General features: G+C 50.5%; 1 protein-coding gene and 1 pseudogene across 9 annotated transcripts in view, besides 2 other annotated features; one reads left to right on the top strand and one right to left on the bottom strand.

The window, feature by feature from the left end:
- KIAA1671 overlaps positions 1–21,013 on the bottom strand; it is a 244,733-nt gene that overhangs the window by 13,167 nt on the left and 210,553 nt on the right. For all 9 annotated transcript variants that reach the window (NM_001386933.1, NM_001386932.1, XM_047441556.1 and 6 more), the window contains 4 exons: positions 13,344–13,462; positions 9,793–10,042; positions 6,760–6,934; positions 2,459–2,583 (listed from right to left, as the gene is read on the bottom strand). In NM_001386933.1, the coding sequence (NP_001373862.1) occupies positions 2,459–2,583; positions 6,760–6,934; positions 9,793–10,042; positions 13,344–13,462 (669 nt within the window). The remainder of the gene's footprint in view (positions 1–2,458; positions 2,584–6,759; positions 6,935–9,792; positions 10,043–13,343; positions 13,463–21,013) is intronic.
- On the top strand, positions 4,726–6,616 carry STMN3P1 (STMN3 pseudogene 1; annotated as a pseudogene).
- Positions 11,786–12,080: a silencer, noted in NCBI's record as "tiled region #1539; HepG2 Repressive non-DNase unmatched - State 12:CtcfO, and K562 Repressive non-DNase unmatched - State 13:Ctcf". NCBI's record gives its function as "represses a minimal TATA promoter and a strong SV40 promoter by Sharpr-MPRA in HepG2 and K562 cells {active_cell/tissue: HepG2 | K562}" and the evidence as "EXISTENCE:reporter gene assay evidence [ECO:0000049][PMID:27701403]".
- Positions 14,846–15,140: a silencer, noted in NCBI's record as "tiled region #2564; K562 Repressive non-DNase unmatched - State 24:Quies". NCBI's record gives its function as "represses a minimal TATA promoter and a strong SV40 promoter by Sharpr-MPRA in K562 cells {active_cell/tissue: K562}" and the evidence as "EXISTENCE:reporter gene assay evidence [ECO:0000049][PMID:27701403]".

The raw sequence follows: 21,013 nt of genomic DNA, 5'->3' as shown, positions 1-21,013 counted from the left end.
TCCTGGCTTTCCCCATTTTACAGGGCGAGAGAGCCCAAAGCTCAAAGGTCTAGCCCGAAGTCACACAGCTTTTATGAACTGGGATTCACACCGGGTCTGCCCGCAGCCCAACTCCAGGGTTCTTTCCAGGACAAGCCCTGCAACCTCCCCTGGTTGTTAATAATCGCCTAGCACTGCTGTGGTAGAGATTGAAGTTTAAGCTAACACTGATGAATGAATGGCCAGAGCCCCGTTTTCACAGAGCACAGTGGACTGGAGCTGTGTTCTGGAATCCCAAGATCTGCCTCAGCAGTTACTCGGTGCATCCACATGGGAGCCCCAGGGCCTCCATCTCACCTACACCCAGGGCCTGTGGCTGTCTGCCTCCTGCGTTAGGCTACCTTATAAGATCATTTGCTTTGTGGCAAGAAAGAAAATGAGGGAAGGAAGGAAGGAAGGATGGGAGGGAGGGAGGGAGGAAGGCCAGATGCGGTGGCTCACGCCTGTAATCCCAGCACTTTGGGAGGCCGAGGCAGGCGGATCAGGAGGTCAGGAGATTGAGACCATCCTTACTAACATGGTGAAACCCCGTTTCTACTAAAAATACAAAAAATTAGCCAGGCATGGTGGCCGGCGCCTGTAGTCCCAGCTACTCGGGAGGCTGAGGCAGGAGAATCGCTTGAACCCGGGAGGCGGAGCTTGCAGTGGATCACACCACTGCACTCTAGCCTGGGTGACAGAGAGACTGTCTCAAAAAACAAAAAAAGAAGAAGGAAGGAAGGAAGGAGAGAACAAGGAAGGAAGGAAGGAAGGAGAAAGAGAAAGGAAGGAAGGAAGAGAGGGAGGGAGGGAGGGAGGGAGGGAGGGAGGGAGGGAAAGAAAGTCAGAAAACCTCTAACCTAGTTCTAGTGACTGAAAGATGTTCACACTGTAAGGGCCTGTAAAATCAATTACAGACACAAGCACGCATCCACTACTGACTGATTTTCTATTCGTGGAAGAAATGACAGAAAAGCAAAACTTCCGTCTACTAAAGGAGCAACAGAGTCACGGCGCTCCCACATGGGGATTGTGTGGCCTGCATGGCATACACAGAGTTGAGAAATTCCACCAACAATTCAGGCTTGTCTGCCTTCATTTCTTCTTCAATAAAAGGGGAACGAAGAGCTACCTTTTGCAAGGTTGCTGGAGCATAAAGTGAGTTTGCAAGCACATGATGTCTGAAACAGGGGGGCAAAAGGGCCTCTTTCCTCACCCAAATTAAGTGCCATTTGGTTCCAGGACTATGAGAGACACTTGTGAGAGCTGGACGTGGGGAGGAGGGAGGCAGCTCAGCCTTTCCCTCAGCATTGCATAATACAGTTGGCATTCTGGTGCAATTTGGGAGACTGGGACTTGGTTCCAGCACTGGCTTCCTGTGTCATCTGGTACTGAAATGATCATTTTCTGTGCCTGCCTTCCACAGCAGACCGGATTCCTCAAGGGCTTCAGGAGCCTGGGTTTGTTCACTCCTGCTTCCCTGATGTTCAGCACTGGTGAGCGTCACCAGTTGGATTCTCAGCCCACTTTACAGATAAGCAAACCAAGGCTTAGCTATGACACCAGAGCAGCAGGTTTGGGGGCGGAGGAGAGTCAGAAAGTGGAGATTAAGCAACACAGGGCCACTGGTGAAAGCCAAGTAAGTTGGTAGTATTGTTAATGGTAGAAGCCAATTTCCTAATTTTGCCAATGTGCTATGGTCATGTGAAATACTATCATGTGGGTGAAGCTGAGTGAAGGGTATGGAGAAACTCCCTGAGTTATTTTTGCAACTCCGTTTGAAACTTAAACTATTTCAAAAATGGAAGGAATGAAGGAAGGAGAAGGAAGGAAAAAAAGAAGGATAAAAAAGGATGGACAAAAAAGGAAGGAAGGAAGAAAAGAGAAAGGGAGGGAGGAAAGAAAGAAGAGAAAGGGAGGGAGGAAAGAAAGAAGAGAAAAGGAAGGAGAAAGGGAGGGAGGAAAGAGAAAGAGGTAGGAAGGGAGGGAGGAAGAAGGGACAAAAGGAAGGAGGAAGACAGGGAGGGAGGAAGAAAGGAAGGAAGGACGGAAGGAAGGAATATGTTTGTTTTTTGTTTTTTTTTTGAGATGGAGTCCCGCTCTGTCGCCCAGGCTGGAGTGCCGTGGCGCAATCTCGGCTTACTGCAAGCTCCGCCTCCCAGGTTCAAGCCATTCTCCTGCCTCAGCCTCCCAGGTAGCTGGGACTACAGGCGCCCGCCACCACGCCCGGCTAATTTTTTTCTATTTTTTAGTAGAGACGGGGTTTCACCATGTTATCCAGGATGGTCTCGATCTCCTGATCTCGTGATCCGCCCAACTCGGCCTCCCAAAGTGCTGGGATTACAGGCGTGAGCCACTGCACCCAGCCGGAATCTATTCTTTACACTGCTAAGGTTGAGGATCATGCCCACCAGGTGACTCTTGGTGAGAGGTCTGGTACCTTTAGCACTGCCGGATCCATGCCTGGAAACGCAGGCATCCTCTGAGGATGGCTGACAGGGGTCCTCTCAGCTTTGGATGCCGTCTCCTCCTCATCCGACTCCTCCTTCCTGGGTGATTTCTCCTCTGTTGCAAAGAAAAGGGCACTGAATTCATCAGCAGCTGCCATGTATTGAGGTCCTACATGCCAGATAATTTGCACACAGTATCTCATGCAATGCTCACATCAGACCTGCACAGAAGACGCTATGGCCCATTTTACAGATGAGGACCACCAAGGTGCCTGCTTTCATGCTCTCTCTTCTCACAACTCTGCTTCTTGCCAGAAGATACTGACAACAGGCAGAGTAGGTTTTCTTTTGCGGGAGGACAGAGGCAAACCCATCTCCTGGGCCCTTGGCTCATTCCAAGTCAGGGAATAGAAGGAAATCTTTGGCAGAGGCAGGAAAGTAGATAGGAATGCTTTCAGCCAACAATGCACCGAGGTTATGCTCTCAGAGGAGAATGTGGAGAGCTTCATGTGTCTTGTGGAAAGGCGGCCCAAAGGTGGACCAGGAAGCCATTTTCCTTGACCCCAACTCCCCTATCCAGGACTTAACCCCAGACCCGTGCTTGAGGCTGAGCTGATCACTCAAGCTTTTGGGTGATGGGCTGCCTATCCCACTCTTCCAGGAGTGATATGGGAGGAGTTTCTACTTCTCTGAGACCAGGATGCTGGCATGGGCACAGTGAGGATTGGAGGAGGGGGCGGGGATGAAAGAGGCAAGACCTGGTGCTCTGGAGCCCTTGGGCTACCCGAGGAACTGAGGTACGCTAAGAAAACACAGACCCAGCCTTCCCCATCCAGCCCCTGGCCGGCTCCTCCAGGCTGATGGGAGCCAGAGGTGCTGCTGCCACGTTCCAGCTGGGGGTATTTGTGTGCTTTTGTCCCTATTATGGTCTTCATTTGCTCCAGGTGGCTTAATAGAACTTGGCTCAGAAAACCAAGAAAGTGCAGAGAGGTCTCACCTGAGGCACTTAAACATTTCCTTTAATAACAGAAATGGGATAGGAGTGGGAGAGAGAACTCTCCAAGCATTTCTTTAAGGTATCTGGTCAGAAGCAATGCCCCTCACTCAGCTCAGAGCCTGGTCTGACATCCTAATGTTTGCTATGGGCAAATCCCAAATGAACAAAGGCACCTACAAGATGTTTTTGAGGACTAAAAAGGCTGTGTCTACATAGAGTGGGCAGGTCAGCTGCTCTAGTTTCCATTGCAAGAAGAAATTTTTTCTTCTTTTTTTTTTTTGAGACAGAGTCTAGCTTTGTTGCTAGGCTGGAGTGCAGTGGCACGATCTCGGCTCCCTGCAACCTCCGCCTCCTGGGTTCAATCGATTCTCCTGCCTCAGCCTCCTAAGTAGCTGGGATTACAGGCACGTGCCATCATGCCCAGCTATTTTTGTATTTTTAGTAGAGACGGGGTTTCACCATGTTGGCCAGAATGGTCTCAATCTTCTGACCTCGTGATCCACCCACCTCGGCCTCCCAAAGTGTTGGGATTACAGGCGTGAGCCACCACGCCCTGCCTGTTTCTTCTTAAAAGTCTTTCATGGCTCTCCATCTACAGACGAAATCTAACTCCTTAGCAAAGCATCAGGGATCTCCATGATCTGGCCCCTGCCTACCTTTCCAGCATATCCTGCTATTCCCAGCTTGAGCAACACGTAACTGTTTAGGGATGCTCCTGCCACACACACAGTTCCTCGGGTAGCCCAAGGGCTCCAGAGCACCAGGTCTTGCCTCTTTCAGAATGTTCTTTCCACATCTCTGTCCCTTTGATCTTGTTGATACTTCTGCCTGGAATAACTTTCCCTAACTCATTATTATCCATTCTTCAAGATTCAGCTCAGGTTTTGATACGGTAAGCAGCCAAAATAGTCCTTAGAGGAAAATGTATAGCCTTAAATGATGCATTAGAAAACAGAAAAGATTGATAATATATGGACTGATCTTTCAACTCAGGAATACAGAAAAAAGACCAGCGAGCAAACCTAAAGAGAATACAGGGGTGGATTTAATCAAAATAAAAGCAGAAATAGTAAAACCTTATTAAGCTATGTCTCTGTCTCTTGTAACTCAAAGAGCCTCAATTAATATACTAACCTTCAAAACACTGTTTTACCTAGTTTCTGATAAGTTCTGCATAACAAGAAATCAGTTTCCACTTTTGGGAGTGCCACCCTGGAGGCCAACGCATTGGGCAGGGGAAGCGGCTCCGTTCCCTTCCCAACGCAGGAGGCGCAGGTGCTGAAGCAGCTGGTGGAGCCGCGCGAGCACGAGCGGGAGGTGCTGCACAAGGCGCTGGAGGAGAATAACAACTTCAGCCGCCAGGCGGAGGAGAAGCTCAACTACAAATGGAGCTCAGCAAGGAGATCCGCGAGGCGCACCTGGCCGCACTGCGCGAGCGGCTGCGCGAGGAGCTGCACGCGGCCGAGGTGCGCAGGAACAAGGAGCAGCGAGAGGAGATGTCGGGCTAAGGGCCCGGGACGGGCGGCGCCCATCCTGCGAGAGAACACGTTCGGGTTTTGGTTTTGTTTCGTTCACCTCTGTCTAGATGCAACTTTTGTTCCTCCTCCCCCACCCCCGCCCCCAGCTTCATGCTTCTCTTCCGCACTCAGCCGCCCTGCCCTGTCCTCGTGGTGAGTCGCTGACCACGGCTTCCCCTGCAGGAGCCGCCGGGCGTGAGACGCGGTCCCTCGGTGCAGACACCAGGCCGGGCGCGGCTGGGTCCCCCGGGGGCCCTGTGAGAGAGGTGGCGGTGACCGTGGTAAACCCAGGGCGGTGGCGTGGGATCGCGGGTCCTTACGCTGGGCTGTCTGGTCAGCACGTGCAGGTCAGGGCAGGTCCTCTGAGCCGGCGCCCCTGGCCAGCAGGCGAGGCTACAGTACCTGCTGTCTTTCCAGGAGGAAGGGGCTCCCCATGAGGGAGGGGCAACGGGGGAGGCGGGTGATGGTGTCTGGGAGCCTGCGTGTGCAGCCGGAGCTTGTTGAACTGGCAGGGGGTGGGTGGGGGCTGCAGCTTTCCTTAATGTGGTTGCACAGGGGTCCTCTGAGACCACCCGGCCTGAGGTGGACACCCTGGGCCTTCCTGGAAGCCTGCAGTTGGGGACCTGCCCTGAGTCTGCTGGGGAGTGGGCATTCTCTGCCAGGGACCCATGAGCAGGCTGCATGGTCTAGAGGTTGTGGGCAGCATGGACAGTCCCCCACTCAGAAGTGCAAGAGTTCCAAAGAGCCTCTGGCCCAGGCGCCTCCGTGGGACAGCCCCGCCGCCCCTCCCCACCAGGGCTTTGCAGATGTCCTTGAAAGACCCACCCTAGAGCCCTTTGGAGTGCTGGCCCCTCCTGTGTCCTCTGCCCTGGTGGAAGTGGCAGCCACAAGTCCTCCTCAGGGAGCCCCAAGGGGGATTTTGTGGGACCGCTGCCCACAGATCCAGGTGTTGGAAGGGCAGTGGGTAAGGTTCCCAAGCCAGCCCCCACACCCTTCCCACTTGGCACCCAGAGGGGGCTGTGGGTCGAGGCCTGACTCTAGGCCTCTCCTGCCCACACCCTCTGGGCTGAGTTCCTTCTTTCCCTTGAATGCCCAGTGCTGGCCTTGGAGGATGGTCAGCTGGAGGACGGCGGTGGGGGAGGCTGTCTTTGTACCACTGCAGCATCCCCCACTTCTCCACAGAAGCCCCATCCCAAAGCTGCTGCCCGACCCCTTGCTGTAAAATGTGAAGGGGGTGGCTGAGTTCTCTTAGGACCCAGAGCCAGGGCCCTCAGCTTCCATCCTGCGGGAGGCCTTGGCCGGGCACTGCCAGCGTCTTCCAGAGCCACACCAGGGACCACGGGAGGATCCTGACCCCTGCAGGGCTCAGGGGTCAGCACGGACCCACTGCCCCATCTCCCTCTCCCCACCAAGACAGCCCCAGAAGGAGCAGCCAGCTGGGATGGGAACCCAAGGCTGCCCACATGTGGCTTTTGTGGGACTCAGAAAGGGAAGCAGAACCGAGGGCTGGGATATTACTCATGGTGGCAGCTCTCATAGTGCAAGCCTACTGTAATATGCACCCATCTCATCCATGTAGTAAAGTGAACTTAAAAATTAAATGAACAATTAAATAAACACCTGTGTGTTTAAGACATGAAAAAAAAAATCAGTTTCCTATGTAATTGTGTTCTAATGATCTACAGCCTTCCAAGTCAGGAATTTTTTCATAGGGCTTAGTCTAAATCCTTCCTGCTGTTCAATGTGCTATCTGAGGAGGAGAGAAGTCATGGCATACCCGTTGAGTCTTTGAACATCCACGTGTTGTCAGTCTCATCCTCCAAAGGTGATCTGCTCTCGGACTCACTAAATCGGCTGCGCCGGAGGGAGTGGGAGATGGGGGCCCGGCGGCGGCTTCTCTTGCTGAGCTGCACCCGGGTCTTGAGGGCACTTGAGTCGAGGACTGAGGTTTGCTTTGGGAGCAGCAGGGAGGAAGAGGAAAAAAATCAAGGGAACCATCAATGGAGGGTACCACAACACAGTTGGCGGTACACAGCTTCGTTGACAGATGAGAGGCTATTTAGGTGGTACCTAGGCCAGGGCTTCCACATTTTAATAGTAACCTAACACCCAAAGCCTAAATTTCCCCATAAAACATACCCCATAGGCTGATGACAAAAGTCAGGTGGAACAATGAACCTTGAGTGCCCTAGTACAGTGCCTGGCTTCCTGGCACCCAGTAGGCACATAATACAAATGCCTTTTCCCTCCCAGTGACATCCACCACACAAGCATGTAATCTACAGCAATGATCAGTACACAGCAGGAGCTCAATTAATGTTTGTTTGTTGAATGAATAATGGATTCAACATCTAACTAAATCCTTCTGTCAACTGTATTCACACAGAGTCCCCGGGTTGAGACGTTCTCCGTGGAATTCCTCCATTACTCACATAATCTAGGGTGCAGGTGGGAAGGGAGGGGGCAGCTTACTAAACATCAGGAGTCCATTTTCAGGCATCCCTGAAGACTCACACTCGGAGCTGCGACAGGTGGGGGGTTGGTGAGGGCCCCCCCAGTGAAAGGGTGGGGAGCACAGACCATCTGGGTGGGCCCCAGTAAGGAGATGGGAAGTGCCTGGCTCAGAATTCTCCCGGGAGACAGCAGTGAAGTGCTCAGAGCTGGGGTTCAAACCCTGCTGGGTTCGAATCCTGGTTATGTGACCTTGGGCAATGAGCTTCACTTCTCTGAGCTTGGGTGTCCCTATTTATAAAAAGGAGATAAACAGAGTGCCTCCTTCCTACAGTGGCTGAGAGAACTCCCTGTGCTCAGGTGTGGAAAGCCCTTGTTTCAGACAGAGCCTGACCACGGCTCACAGCCAAGAGCTCTTTCCGGCAAGCTCACGTTCTTACATGAAATGTTGGTTTCTTCCGCCTAGGTCCACTTTGGAGAAATTCCATCACCCAAGGCCTTCTAAGTCAGTGATGACAGGCTAATTTCAATGAATCATTTCCCAACAATGGTAAGTAACAAAAGTCCCAATGGGGTGGTGGAAGGAGCTGATCATAGCTACTTCCCAAACCAGCCACAGTGGTATCTTGTGAGGAGACTTGCACGGGACCAGTGAAAGAGGGGGAAAGACGGAAATCAGAAAGTGCCTGCTGCACCTAGAGGCAGGCTTGCTTCTCCGGCCACTTAACAGAGCCAGGTTTTCAGACTCCAAGAGAGCAGGACAGAATCACACTGACAGAGGGGCTGGCTTGGAGGGGAAGATGGTGCCACCCTTGCATCCTCAGCCTGGTACAGAGACTGGATTCCTTAGTGCTCCGCCTCCGCCTCCCCATTTGGCCTCCAAACCGTCCCCACAGGAGACCTAAATCATGGTTGGCACCATACATAAACCTCAGTATCCCCACAGGAGACCCAAATCGTGGTGGGCATCACACATAAACCGCAGTATAATTTCAGTAAGCGTTAGACCTATGCTTCGGGACACCAGCATTTAGAGTCACTCCATGGCCACTCTGATTTGCTAATTTGCAAAAAGCGCAGGCAGTTTTGCCTCTGGGGTTATTAACATGTGCCTGGGCCAGTGGTCAACACTCACTGATTGTTGTTTATAATGGACATCAAGAAGGAACCACTTAGCGTTCTAGCAGGAAAGTTCATGATGCAGTGACATGATGCTGGCATGTAAGGCACACAGCAAGATCTCAATACATGTCTGTTGAGTGAATAACTGAATATATCACCTAACTAAATCCTGATGACACCCAGGGAGGTGGGCATGGCCATGGTTATATAATGGGGTTCCCCAATCAAGACTCAACTTGTGTCTTTCTTTGTCTCCGCCCTGATCTAGAGGTGCCAGCGAGAGACCTTGGCCATATACTGAAGGAGAATCCTCTTTGAAGCCCTAAAGGAAGCCCTTTTTCTAAAGCAGCGGTGTTCCTCCTCTGGGGAAATGTGGGTAGCCATGCCCAAGTGTGTAGGTGGGAGGCTTTACTGCCAGGAGAGAGGGTCCCTTTCACATTTTGCAGATGTTCCATCCCCCAGAAAGTGGGCAGGTAGCCCTATTGTTACGCGAGGAGAATAATGACATCACCCCTGGGTTTCAAGGGTTGAAAAGGAAGACCTGCCTGACCCCTGGAGGTGGGGCTCCCAGGGGAAAGGAGGATAAGTTCTGGTCTGGAAGATGCTAGAGCAGGAGACCGTTTGACCTGCTATGCTGGGGCAGCTGACATCCTGGCTGTGCTTGGGACCTGAAAGAGCTGAGTGCTAGGGACTGTCCCCTGGGACCTCCATGAAAGGTGCCCATGCCTGAGGGGACTTTCTGTCCTGGAAGAGCCACTACAGAGACAGTCGGATCCCCTGATACCAGGGACACTGTTGTACCAAGCAAGACCTTAGTGAGAACGTTCAGCAGAATCATTCTGAGCAAACTCCAGCCTCTTCATGCTTGCAACTATAAACCTCAGGGTGACTTCCCAGGGGTAAGTGGTCAGACTCCCTGCTTACCTAGCAGGTAAGGGCTTAGATCAGTTTTAATTTGAATGCATGCAATTGTATTTGAGGCTGTGGAGCTGATGATGCTGGTTACAAGTGGATAAGGAAGCTGAGGCTCAGAGAGGTGAAGACATTTGCCCCAAGACACACAGCAGGTGTATGGCAGGTCCAAGATACATGCATAAGTGAGTCCCATTTCAAAGACAGTGCCCTCCGTACCCACTCCAAGGGTCCCTGGCACACAGATCCTACACCTGAAGTGGCAATTCACAGAGAGAGGCTGGAATTTCCATTTAAGAAGAAATGCTCCTGGCCACTGACTTACATCAATGAAGGAGAAGTCATCTACTCTCTTTTCAGGGCAGGCGTCCGGTGGAGGCGGCCCCTCCATCCCATCGGTGGATTCCAGGTCAGTGCTGGAGTGGTCCACGCTGGTGCTCCGCTGGTCCCTGGAGCAGTCATACTGGTCCCCTGCCGAGGTGGGCTCCGTTTGGGAGGACAGAGAAGACAAACGGCTGCTGGGGGGCTGTTTCCTTGTCGATGTGGCACTGCTATCTGGGGACTCAGTGGCCAAGCTGCCAAAAAAGGGAATGAAGGGAGACATGGTTATGGAGAACGTTTCAGAGAACGGGATTTCAAGTGAAGGATGCTGCAGGCAGCATAGCTTGGGTTATGTTTTATAAGCCAAGTAACAACAGACAGAACATCCCAGCAGAAGACCCTCTTTGGAAACAGCACAAGATGTGCCAGCGAGGTGCTGTCTAAGGCACTGCCTGGAACACCTGGCCAGGTGCAGAATGGGAGGAGTCAGTCCTGTGCCACTCAAGATCCTTTGGCCCTGCGCTGTCCTGGACGGAAGCTGCTTATCACAGGTGGTTGTTGGGTCCTTGCAATGGAGCAAGTGACAGAGCTGAGATATGCCGTGAGCATCTTACACACTGGATTTCCTATACCTTACACACTGGATTTCCAATACTTTGAATAGAAAAAAAGAATGTAAACTGCCTCGCTAATAACTTTTCATGTTAATTACATGTGGAAATGATAGTATTTTGGATCCCTTGGTTCTGATAAAATACATCCCTAAATTGAATTTCACTTGTTTCTTTTTATTCTTTTGGTGTAGCTACCAGGACATTTTAAATTACATATATGTCTTGCATTTGCAGCTTACATTATAATTCTTTTTTATTTATAATCGATACATAGTAATTACACGTTTCCGGGGTACAGAGTGGTGTTTCAATACATGTATATATTGCATAAGGATCAAATCATCATGTTGTATTTCTGCTGGGCAGTGCTGATGTAGATCAAATTGTTATCAGCAGTTACCTATGGAAGAGCAGGTGGTGGGACCTGCATTATTTCATTCACTTATTCATTCAGTCATTTAATAAAAATCTACTGAGCACTTACTATGTGCCAAGCATTGTGCTAAAAAATGTGTCATTCAGTCCTCTCCAATAATCCTATGAGGATTAGCCTATAACTGCCACAATCCTACAAGTTAGGGTTGGTGACATGGTTTGGATTTGTGTCCCCAACTAAATCTCATGTCGAATTGGAGGAAGGGCCTGGTGGGGGGAAGTGATTGGATAATGGGGGCAGATGTCCTCCTTGCTGTTCTCATGATAGTGAGTGAGCTCTCACAAGATCTGATGGTTTAAAAGTGTGTGGCACCTTCCCGTTCTCTCTCTCCTGCTGCCAGGTAGGACGTGCCTTGCTTCCCCTTCACCTTCCGCCATGATTGTAAGTTTCCTGAGGCTTCCCCAGCCCTGCAGAACTGTGAGTCAATTAAACCTCTTTCCTTTACAAATTACCCAGTCTCAGGTAGTTCTGTATAGCAGTGTGAAAACAGACTAATATAATTGGCCTCATGAACTTAAGTATTCTTATTCACCTTGTTAAAGGTGAGGAAACTGAGGCATAGAGATGTAAATTAGCTTGTCCCCAGCAACAGGACTGGGATTGAGCCCAGGCAGTCTGACTCCAGCGTCCATGTCCTTGGCTCTCTCCTACTTCTGAAATCTCTTCCTATGATAATATAATCAGGTATCACTTGGGTCATTGGAATAATGTAAGATAGAAAATTTACAGATAATTCAAGTCATTAAAAACCTCCTGCCCTGCCTCCATCCACATATTAAAAAGAACACCTAAGCCAATAGCCTAGCAAAGCCTCCAGGTCATGGGAAACCCTCGCCTTGAGAAAGGACAGGTGGGCACACCTGACAAGTGGGCCTACTCTCAAGACCACCAGTCTGCTCCCTTGAGCAGAACTTTCCACAGGTGTGCTGGCATTTCATCGTGCTTTCTGTCAGCTCTGGGGTGATTTTATTACTTGTCATATGGAGGATGTTAGGGTTGTAAGGTGGATTGAGGCAAATCCACACGGGATGAAGGTAACAGCACTGAGAGACAGCAGGTGGCACCACTGTCCAAGGCTGGGTGTGCCATGCTCCTGGGGTGGCCCGAGGAGGGGAAGTTGCATTGTCTCTGCAGGACAGCAGGGAGCACCCCCTCAGGGGTGCACCTAAGTCCACACTCCAGGTCCCACAGGTCCTGAGTCAGAACTGGGGAATGGAGACCCCGAGAGAGGAACGGGCTCCTAGGGTCACACAGTGACATGTGCAAAACCAAGACCTGGGTTTCCAGACTCTCAGTCCAGTGCTCTTGCAGGGGTATTCTAGATAAATTTAAGTAAGCTCATAACTAAACACATATTTCATGGGTCAGTGGGAAAAACAGCTTTCTCGGGCACTGTAAAAAACCTTTGCTTTCCTTTTACTTTTTCTTATCCATTTTCAATTCTATCACCCTCCTGCCAACTTTAATATTGGTGACTTTATCATTTTTATCACTGTGGTAAAATACAATTTGCCATTGGTCACATGCAGGACAGTCACAGTGTTGTGGAGCCATCATCACTGTCATCCTAGAAATTTCCATCACCCCAAAAGGAAACCAGATACCCACGAAGCAGCCACTCCCCATTCCCTCTCCACCCCAGCGCCTCATCTGTTTTCTGTCTCTATGGTATTTGCCTATCTTGGATATTTCATATATCATTATTATTATTATTATTTTTTTTTAGACAAGGTGTCTCTCTCTGTCGCCCAGGCTGGATTGAGTGCATTGGCGCAATCTTGGCTTACTGCAGCCTCCACCTCCCGGGTTCAAGTGATTCTTGTGCTTCAGCCTCCTGAGCAGTTGGCATCACAGGTGCCCACCACCACACCCAGCTAATTTTTTTTGCGTTTTTAGTAGAGATGGGGTTTCGCCATGTTGGCCAGGCTGGTCTCAAACTCCAGGCCTCAAGTGATCTGCCCGCCTGGGCTTCCCAAAGTGCTGGGATTACAGGTGTGAGCCACTGTGGCTGACCCATAATCTTTTTTTGTTTGTTTTTTTGAGACGGAGTCTTGCTCTGTCCCCCAGGCTGGAGTGCAGTGGCACAATCCCGGCTCACTGCAACCTCCGCCTCCCAGGTTCAAGTGATTGATTCTCCTGCCTCAGCCTCCCAAGTAGCTGGGATTACAGGGGTACGCTGCCACACCCAGCTAATTTTTTGTATTTTAGTAGAGACGGGGTTCCACCATGTTTCCCAGTCTGGTCTCGAACTCCTGAGCTCAGGCAATCCGCCCGCCTCAGCCTCCCAAAGTGCTGGGATTACAGACGTGAGCCACCGCACCCGGCCCATAATCTTTATTATTATTTTTTTGTACTTCCTAATTTCCTTTTTAAAAGAAGAATGGGTTCCTTTTATAATTACAGACTGGAGGTTTTAGCAATATAGAAATCAGGAGGTGGGTGGGCTGCAGCAACTCCAGCCCAGCTGCCCCCTTTGCAGCCAGAATCCCGTCGCACGCGTCCTACCTCTCCCCACTCTGGCACTGCTCTGTCCACGTCCCATACTGGCTGCCGGCTTCGTGCACGAGGGTGTCAGTGTCCTTGGGTTCAGTGGGCTGCCGGGAGAAACACTGCTTCAGCTGGTCCTGCAAAGACAAGCCAGATGTGAGATTTCTACCAGGAAATGTACTCAGAACCCCCGTCCCGGCTGACACACAAATCAGATCGCATGGCCCCCAGCTCAAACCCATCCCAGCAACCCGCTGCCTTCCTAAGTGGGGCCAGACATCTTGGCTGGGCACTAGCGTGACCAATCGTCCTGGTTTACCAAGATATCACAGGATACAGGACTTTCAGTGCTAAAAGTGGGCCAACTGGGATGAAGTGGTCACCCTACCTGGCATGTGGAGCCCTGCAGGGCATCGCCTGGCCCCCACCTCAATGGCCCTCTCTCCTCCTCACAGTACAGCCTGGGCACACTTCTCTCATCTTCAGTGTTACTCAGACTCATGGATCTGGCTGGGGGAAGCTCCATGCACCCGCTTGCCCAGGTTCCTACCACCACCGTGTTTCCCAACCGCATCACCAGACAGAACATCCATGGAGCACCGAACTTGGGACAGGCATTGGGCTGAGCTCTTGACATGAGATCACCTGGTTGAACTACAGTCCCTCGACAATCCCATGGGGTGGATCTTATTACGATCCCCATTTTACAGATGATAAAATTGAGGCTTAAAAACATGAAATTACGGCCGGGCATGGTGGCTCACTCTTGTAATCCCAGTACTTTGGGAGGCCGAGGTGGGCGGATCACGAGGTCAGGAGATCGAGACCATCCTGGCTAACATGGTGAAACCTCATCTCTACTAAAAATATAAAAAATTAGCTGGGTGTGGTGGCAGGCGCCTATAGTTCCAGCTACTTGGGAGGCTGAGGCAGGAGAACGGCGTGAACTCGGGAGGCGGAGCTTGCAATGAGCCAAGATTGCACCACTCCAGCCTGGGCGACAGAGAGACACTCCATCTCAAACAAAAAACATGAAATTACACGCCCCAAATCAAATAGCCAGTAAACAGCCAGCGAAGTGGAATTCAACCCCCAGGTCCAAACCACTGCGCTTCAGGCAACATCAATCCCTTGGGCTGTTGCAACCCGGTCTGTTGCTGGTCTCGGCCCTCGGCCTGGGCACTCAGAGAGGGCACGCAGGGAGCAAGGGTGCTGATTAGCACAGAACTGACCACAGGGCCAAGCCTGGCACACGGTGGAAAGGCCATAAATCCCCATTAAATGACTGAACTGCTGTCTTCCCTCATTTGTCTGCTTCGCAAATTAAAAGCCCATTCCCTGTGATGTGGCCACTGAAGTGGCTGCCACTTAGGCTTGTGCTTTGTTGAGTGGGGAGAAGCTGGTGCCCTCAAGACAAAACCAAAAGTCCAATCCTTGGATGGGCCGTTGGCACACTGATGACTCAGACGGCCTTGGCTGCCTGAGCTTTGAAGCTTTGAATGACGCTCTCAGTCACCTTTTTTTTTTTTTTTTTTTTTGAGACAAGGTCTTACTCTGTCACCTAGGCTGGAGTACAGTGGTGCAATCACAGCTCACTCCAGCCTTGGCCTCTGGGGCTCAAGTAATCCTCCTGCCTGAGACTCCCAAGTAGCTGGGAGTATAGGTATACACTACCACACCCAGCTATTTAAAAAAATTTTTTTGTAGAGATGGGGTCTCGTCATGTTGCCCAGGCTGGTCTTAATCTCCTGGGCTCAAGAAATCCTCCTGCCTCAGCCTCTCAAAGCATTGCAATTACATTGCATGGTGAGGCACCACGCCCAGCCCCAGTCACTGTCTTTTGATGAGGAATTTGGAGATGGGGGTTAGGGCATAAGACTGGCCCAGAAAGACAAACGGGGCTCATCTTTACTCCTTACGTTCTGTTCCATTTGAGATCAGGAGGCACATTCTGCTGGAATATGCTTCATATCATCTCCTGCTCAAAAACCTTCCGGGGTTCCCTATTGTCCTCACGTAGAAATCCAAGGCCCCTTGAAAGTGAGCCCCCACATTTCCTGTCTGATCCCATCCCCTACCCTTGCTCCAAACAAACTCTCTATCCCACACTCTTTGGCTTACTACATACCATACCCACACAAGCCTCACACACTCCTGGCCTCTGCAGCCTTGTTTGTATCATTCCACCTCCCTATCCATCCTTCTTAAACAAAGCTATTGCAACCCATGGTGATATCTCCTCCCTAAACTTTTTTTTTTTTCCCTAGATGGAGTCCCACCCTGTCTCCCAGGCTGGAGTGCAGTGGTGCAATCTTGGCTCACCGCAACCTCCGCCTCCCAGGTTCAAGTGATTTTCTTGCCTCAGCCTCCTTAGTAGCTGGGATTACAGGCACACACCACCATGCCTGGCTAATTTGTTTGTATTTTTAGTGGAGACAGGGTTTCACCACATTGCCCAGGCTGGTCACGAACTCCTGGCCTCAGGTGATCCGCCCACCTCGGCCTCCCGCAGTGCTGGGATTCCAGGCGTGAGCCACCACTGTATACCCTGGATGACTTATCAATTGTACCAGGCAGAACGTGACACATAATTTATATTACACAACAGATATTTACTGAGCTCCTACTACATGCTAGGCACCGGGGAACTGGGCGTGGGAGGTCACGGCACAGACGCAGGCTCTAGGATTCTGCAACTCATCAGATGTGCCCTTTAAGACTGGGATGCTCCAATGTTTCTGTTCCCCTCTTGGAGCCTGCCTGGCACGCAGTAGGTGCTTAGTTAACGGAGGTGGGCTGATTGTTCCTCAGCAGTTTATCTTCTTCCCAGGCAGGGGAGCCAGCCTCTTCTCAGGTTCTCTGGAACCACACTGAGCCGAGACAGCACTTGTGGTCCATGTGGTCCTGCAGAATGAGTGGGCACCTGGGGAAAAGCCTGCTGTGTGGCCTCAGGGCTCTGGCTTCCCTCTCTGAATTGCAGAGAAGTTACAAGAATTCAGTGAGAAAATAATGGTCACCCCCAGGGCACAGGCGCAAACTTGACAGCTCCTAGAACAGGGCCCAGCACTCAGGAAACATCCCATAAATGGTCACCTCCTTTCCATTCTCTTTCTCTTGCCTTTTAGAGATACTCATGTACCCCATGATGTTCGTGGGAATACTGTGAATGAGGTGTATACAAGGACGGGAATTCAGAATAAATCCCTCAGTCACCCCTGCTAAATGGCTACACTCATAGACCCAAATAAGAGCTGCTGTCCACTCTTAATTCTACTGTCTGTAGAAGCTTTTCTGTCTCTAGTTACAACATAACACCTTACTCACTGTAAAACATTTAGGAGTAACGGAAAATCACAAAGAATACATTTTAAAAGAACTTATCACCCAAAGACAGTATTCTCTCATAGTCCTGCCCGGAATTTTCTCAGGATCAATTCACCTACATCACCATTTTACTGGCTGAAGAATATTTCACTTTTCGGATGCAGCATCTTCCAATTAACCAGTCCCCAAGTGCTGGGACTTTTGGTTGCTGAGGATTTTCTTCACCACTATAATCAATAATATGACGAACACCCCTGAGGCTAAATCAACACATCTCTGCAATTATTCCCGTAAGAGAAATTACTAGGTATAGAGTCACCAGGTCAAAGGGCTTTGGGATCCAGATGAGCAAGCCAGCTTTGGAAGAGGCTGCCTAACTTCCAAGCCTACGGGCAGCACATAGGGATAGCTGTTAGCACGCTGTAGGGATGCACTCAGGCCCTGCTGGGGAGTGTTATGTTTTTGCCTTGCAAGGCAAGGTCACCTGATATACTCAGAGGCACAGCACCATCGACAGAATTCTCCCTGGGACGCAGGGCTAGAAGTGGTCATCTGAGCCCGCTCCCAGCTCCTTACTGTTTTCAAAGATGTGATGGAACTGGCCATTCCCTAACTTAATGCCCTTCAGAGGTCAGATTCAGAGGCCAGATGCTGGGGACTTAGGGGTTGTTTCTGGTGGAGGACAAGACATCGTTGTCCCAAGCAGCTTGTTGTCCCGAGGCTGCAAGGTGGATGCTGGGCTTGTGCCTGTGTATGCTAAGCTCAGCGGGAGGCAGAGGAGTGACAGCTTATAGCGAGGGTGGGGACGCAGGGCAGGGCTTGCTGTCTCTGCTCTGCCCAGCTGTGTGGCCTGGCTAAGTGACCCCACCCATCCAAGCCTCAGTTTTCACACTGGAAAAACAAGGACTGTTTTGAGGTATCAACAGATAATCTTCAGAAAGTGTTAAGCTCACTGCCTGGCACATAAATGGGTACCCAGGAGATGGGAACCGTCATGATGACAGCAATTTTCAGGCCCTCTTTGGAGTCAGGCAGGGGAATGGAGCCTTGGCAAAAGGTTCTTAAAATCCCTGAGAGAGGGGGATCCCCCTCAGGGCTGAGTGATGGAAGAAGGAATTTGCAGGGGCCCCCTAGAAACCAAAAGGTCAAGTCCATTGCTGAGGGTGAAACCAGGGCAGGCGGCAGGGGGGCAGTTTCCAGACCTCTTGCGGATGGCCCTGGGGATAAATGGTGTCCAACCAAAACATGGTGGCTTCCCTTTATACAACCATCTGTGTGCCCTCCCCCACAGAGGTTTGGGATTCAGGTTCAGGGATCTGAACTCTCCAAGAGTCAGGGATGGATGGGTTTTCTCCCTCCACCGCCTAATGCCAGACTGAGGGTCCTGAGGCCAGCGCTGCTCCCTCCTCTCTCTCCTTCACTGCCATACTGCATCGATCCTCAGTCCTTCAAAGTCTCTTTCTCGAACAACATTCCTTCCAGCTATGACCAGCTATCTGTTCACCCACGGCGGCAGCTTCCGAGGGACCTCCCCTGGCATCCTTCGCCCTGTATGTGCTTCTCATTCTACTTTCCAAAACTGAATAGGTCCCTGCTCAAAGCCCTTCCACAGCCCCCCACGTCCCTCCGGGTAAGGGCTGGGGTTAGGGAAAGGGTTACGGCCTGCGGGACCTGCATGGGTGCGGGGCCTGGTGGGCTCAGCAGCTCCTTCAGTGTTGCTTCCCTCCTCCCATACCCCTCCTCTCACCCCCCAGTCCCTCCCACTGGCTCCTCCAGCCCCATTTCCCTCCCCTCACATTCCTCCCTCTCACCTCCAGGCCTGGTGGAGCAGCCACCACCTCCAAGTTACCATTCAGATTTCAACTTTGATGGCCAGGAAGCCTTCCCAGAACTTTCCCACCGTCCTACCCTGAGGGCTGGCTCAGGAGGCCCCAGGCTCCCATTGTCCCCTAGACCTCAGGTCTCTACATCTGTGCCATCTGATACAGTAGCCACTAGCCACTTATGACTATTTGAATTTAATTTAAATTGACATTAACTAATACTAAGAATTCAGTTCCCCTGTGGCACTAGCCATATTTCAAGAGCTCCACAGCCACCCACCATGCTGAACAGCATGGAGAATACATTTCTATCACTGTAGAAAGCTGTAGTGTACAGCACTGCTGTAGAACTTTCCACAGTATAATAATTATCATTTACCAGTTTCTCAGCAGTCTTCCCTGAACAAACACTGCTTCCAGAGCCAGAACACCTGGACTTGAATCCAGAGACCACCACATAGTAGCTATGTGACCTTGGACGAGCTACTTCTCTGTGTCTCAATGTTCAATCAAAGCAGGTTATGGTGAATATAACTGCATTCTCTGCTCTTTAACACAGACTGTCAAATTTGGAGTCATGCAGGGGCTAGGGTTACCTAAGGGAATTCATCTTGTAAATGCAGTTTAAGAAAGCAAGCTGTTAATCAGCACTTTCTCTAGTTAGTATCCTGGTAACCTTGTGCATTACAAGTTATTCATGCCTCATCATTCTACCAGAACTTGGCGGGACTTCAAATCAACACTTGAGCTTAGCCCCAGAGCTACGAGGCCTCAAAATCAACCACAGACACACACACACACACACACACACACACACACACACACACACACGCCTGCAACTCTCTCTCTTTTTTTTTTTTTCCCGAGACAGTCTCACTCTGTTGCCCAGGCTGGAGTGTAATAGGACAATCTCGGCTCACTGCAAGCTCCACCTCCTGGATTCAAGTGATTCTCCTGCCTCAGCCTCCCGAATAGCTGGGACTACAGGTGCGTGCCACCAGGCCCAGCTAATTTTTGTATTTTTAGTAGAGAGGGGGTTTCACCATGTTGCCCAGGCTGGTCTTGAACTCCTGACCTCATGATCCGCCTGCCTTGGCCTCCCAAAGTGCTGGGATTACAGGCATGAGCCACCATACCGGGCCCCTGCAACTCACTTTCTACAAGTCAGGTTGTTTTATTAGCTTTAAGGCAGGATATTCTTCCAACTCTTTTGCTTCACAGGCTGCTGTAAAAAACACCTTAGTGACTGCAGGCAGGTGGATAATATACAAGATACTCTGAAAATACACATGATGAATTAAAAGGCAGGCAGAGAGCTCTGCCTGAATTGGTCTCCATTTATCCAAGTCTCCAATCTCTACCTTGGTTTGGTCGTATGTCAAATGAGGTTGACTGAATACTGTAATGTACACCTGGACGGACCCCCTGAGTCCATTCAGTCGGCCCTTCCTTTTCAGATGAGAAAATGGAAGCCCAGAAGCAGGAACAGCTATGGGGCTCTTAGTTCTCCTGGTGAGTGGGAAGCGGAGCTGGGGAGACTGGAACCCAGGCTCTGGGCTCCTTTCCCAGTGCTCCTTCCTGCCACCAACATTCTACCTGCCCCACCTTTTCTATGATGCATCAGGAGGCTCTCAGAAAGAGATGTAGGTTACAATGCTCTGAAAAACCTCAAGACTTGGCAGGTTTAAAAACCACTTGCCTGGACTGGCTTGCCAAGCCCCAAAGCCACTGGAAGGTGAGAACTCTGGGCCCTTGTCTTGCAGGCAAAGACAAGTGCCTCAGTGGACAGCTTTGGGGAGACAGGGTAACATGTACCCCCTAAAGGCTATATTAAAACAACCCATAATATATGTCCCCAAATTTAAAATCTGCATAGCCTTAATTCAGTAACTTTTGCTCCAGAAATTTATCTCAAGGAAACCATCAGAGATACCTGCCAAGATCTATGAACATGGACACCGCCCTGCAGGATTAGTTATTATTGCAAAATACGAGAGACAACCTAAATGTTCAATAAGGCAGGAGACGGTGAAATACAATATCCATGCAATGGATAAATACAGCCAAGGAATGGCCGGGCGTGGTGGCTCATGCCTGTAATCCCAGCACTTTGGGAGGCCGAGGTGGGCATCACAAGGTCAAGAGATCGAGACCATCCCAGCCAACATTGTGAAACCCCATCTCTACTAAAAATATAAAAATTAGCTGGGCGTGGTGGCGTGCACCTGTAGTCCCAGCTACTTTGGAGGCTGAGGTAAGAGAATCACTTGAACCCGGGTAGCGGAGGTTGCAATGAGCAGAGATCGCACCACTGCACTCCAGCCTGGGTGACAGTGTGAGACTCCATCTCAAAAAAAAAAAAAAAAAAAATACAGCCAAGGAAAATAATGTCCAGAAGTAATATTTACTGTCACAGAAAGATGTCTGCCATAAACTAGAAAATGTAAAAAAAAAAAAAAAAAAAAAAAAAAAAAAAAATTTGAGGCAATGTCTCACTCTATCACCCAGGCTGGAGTGCAGTGACACTGTCAACGGCTCACT

Source organism: Homo sapiens, chromosome 22 (assembly GCF_000001405.40).
Source record: "Homo sapiens chromosome 22, GRCh38.p14 Primary Assembly".
NCBI classification, from domain to species: Eukaryota; Metazoa; Chordata; class Mammalia; order Primates; family Hominidae; genus Homo; species Homo sapiens.
Note: the sequence above shows the minus strand (reverse complement) of the source record. Positions and strands in the feature narration are given on the sequence as shown.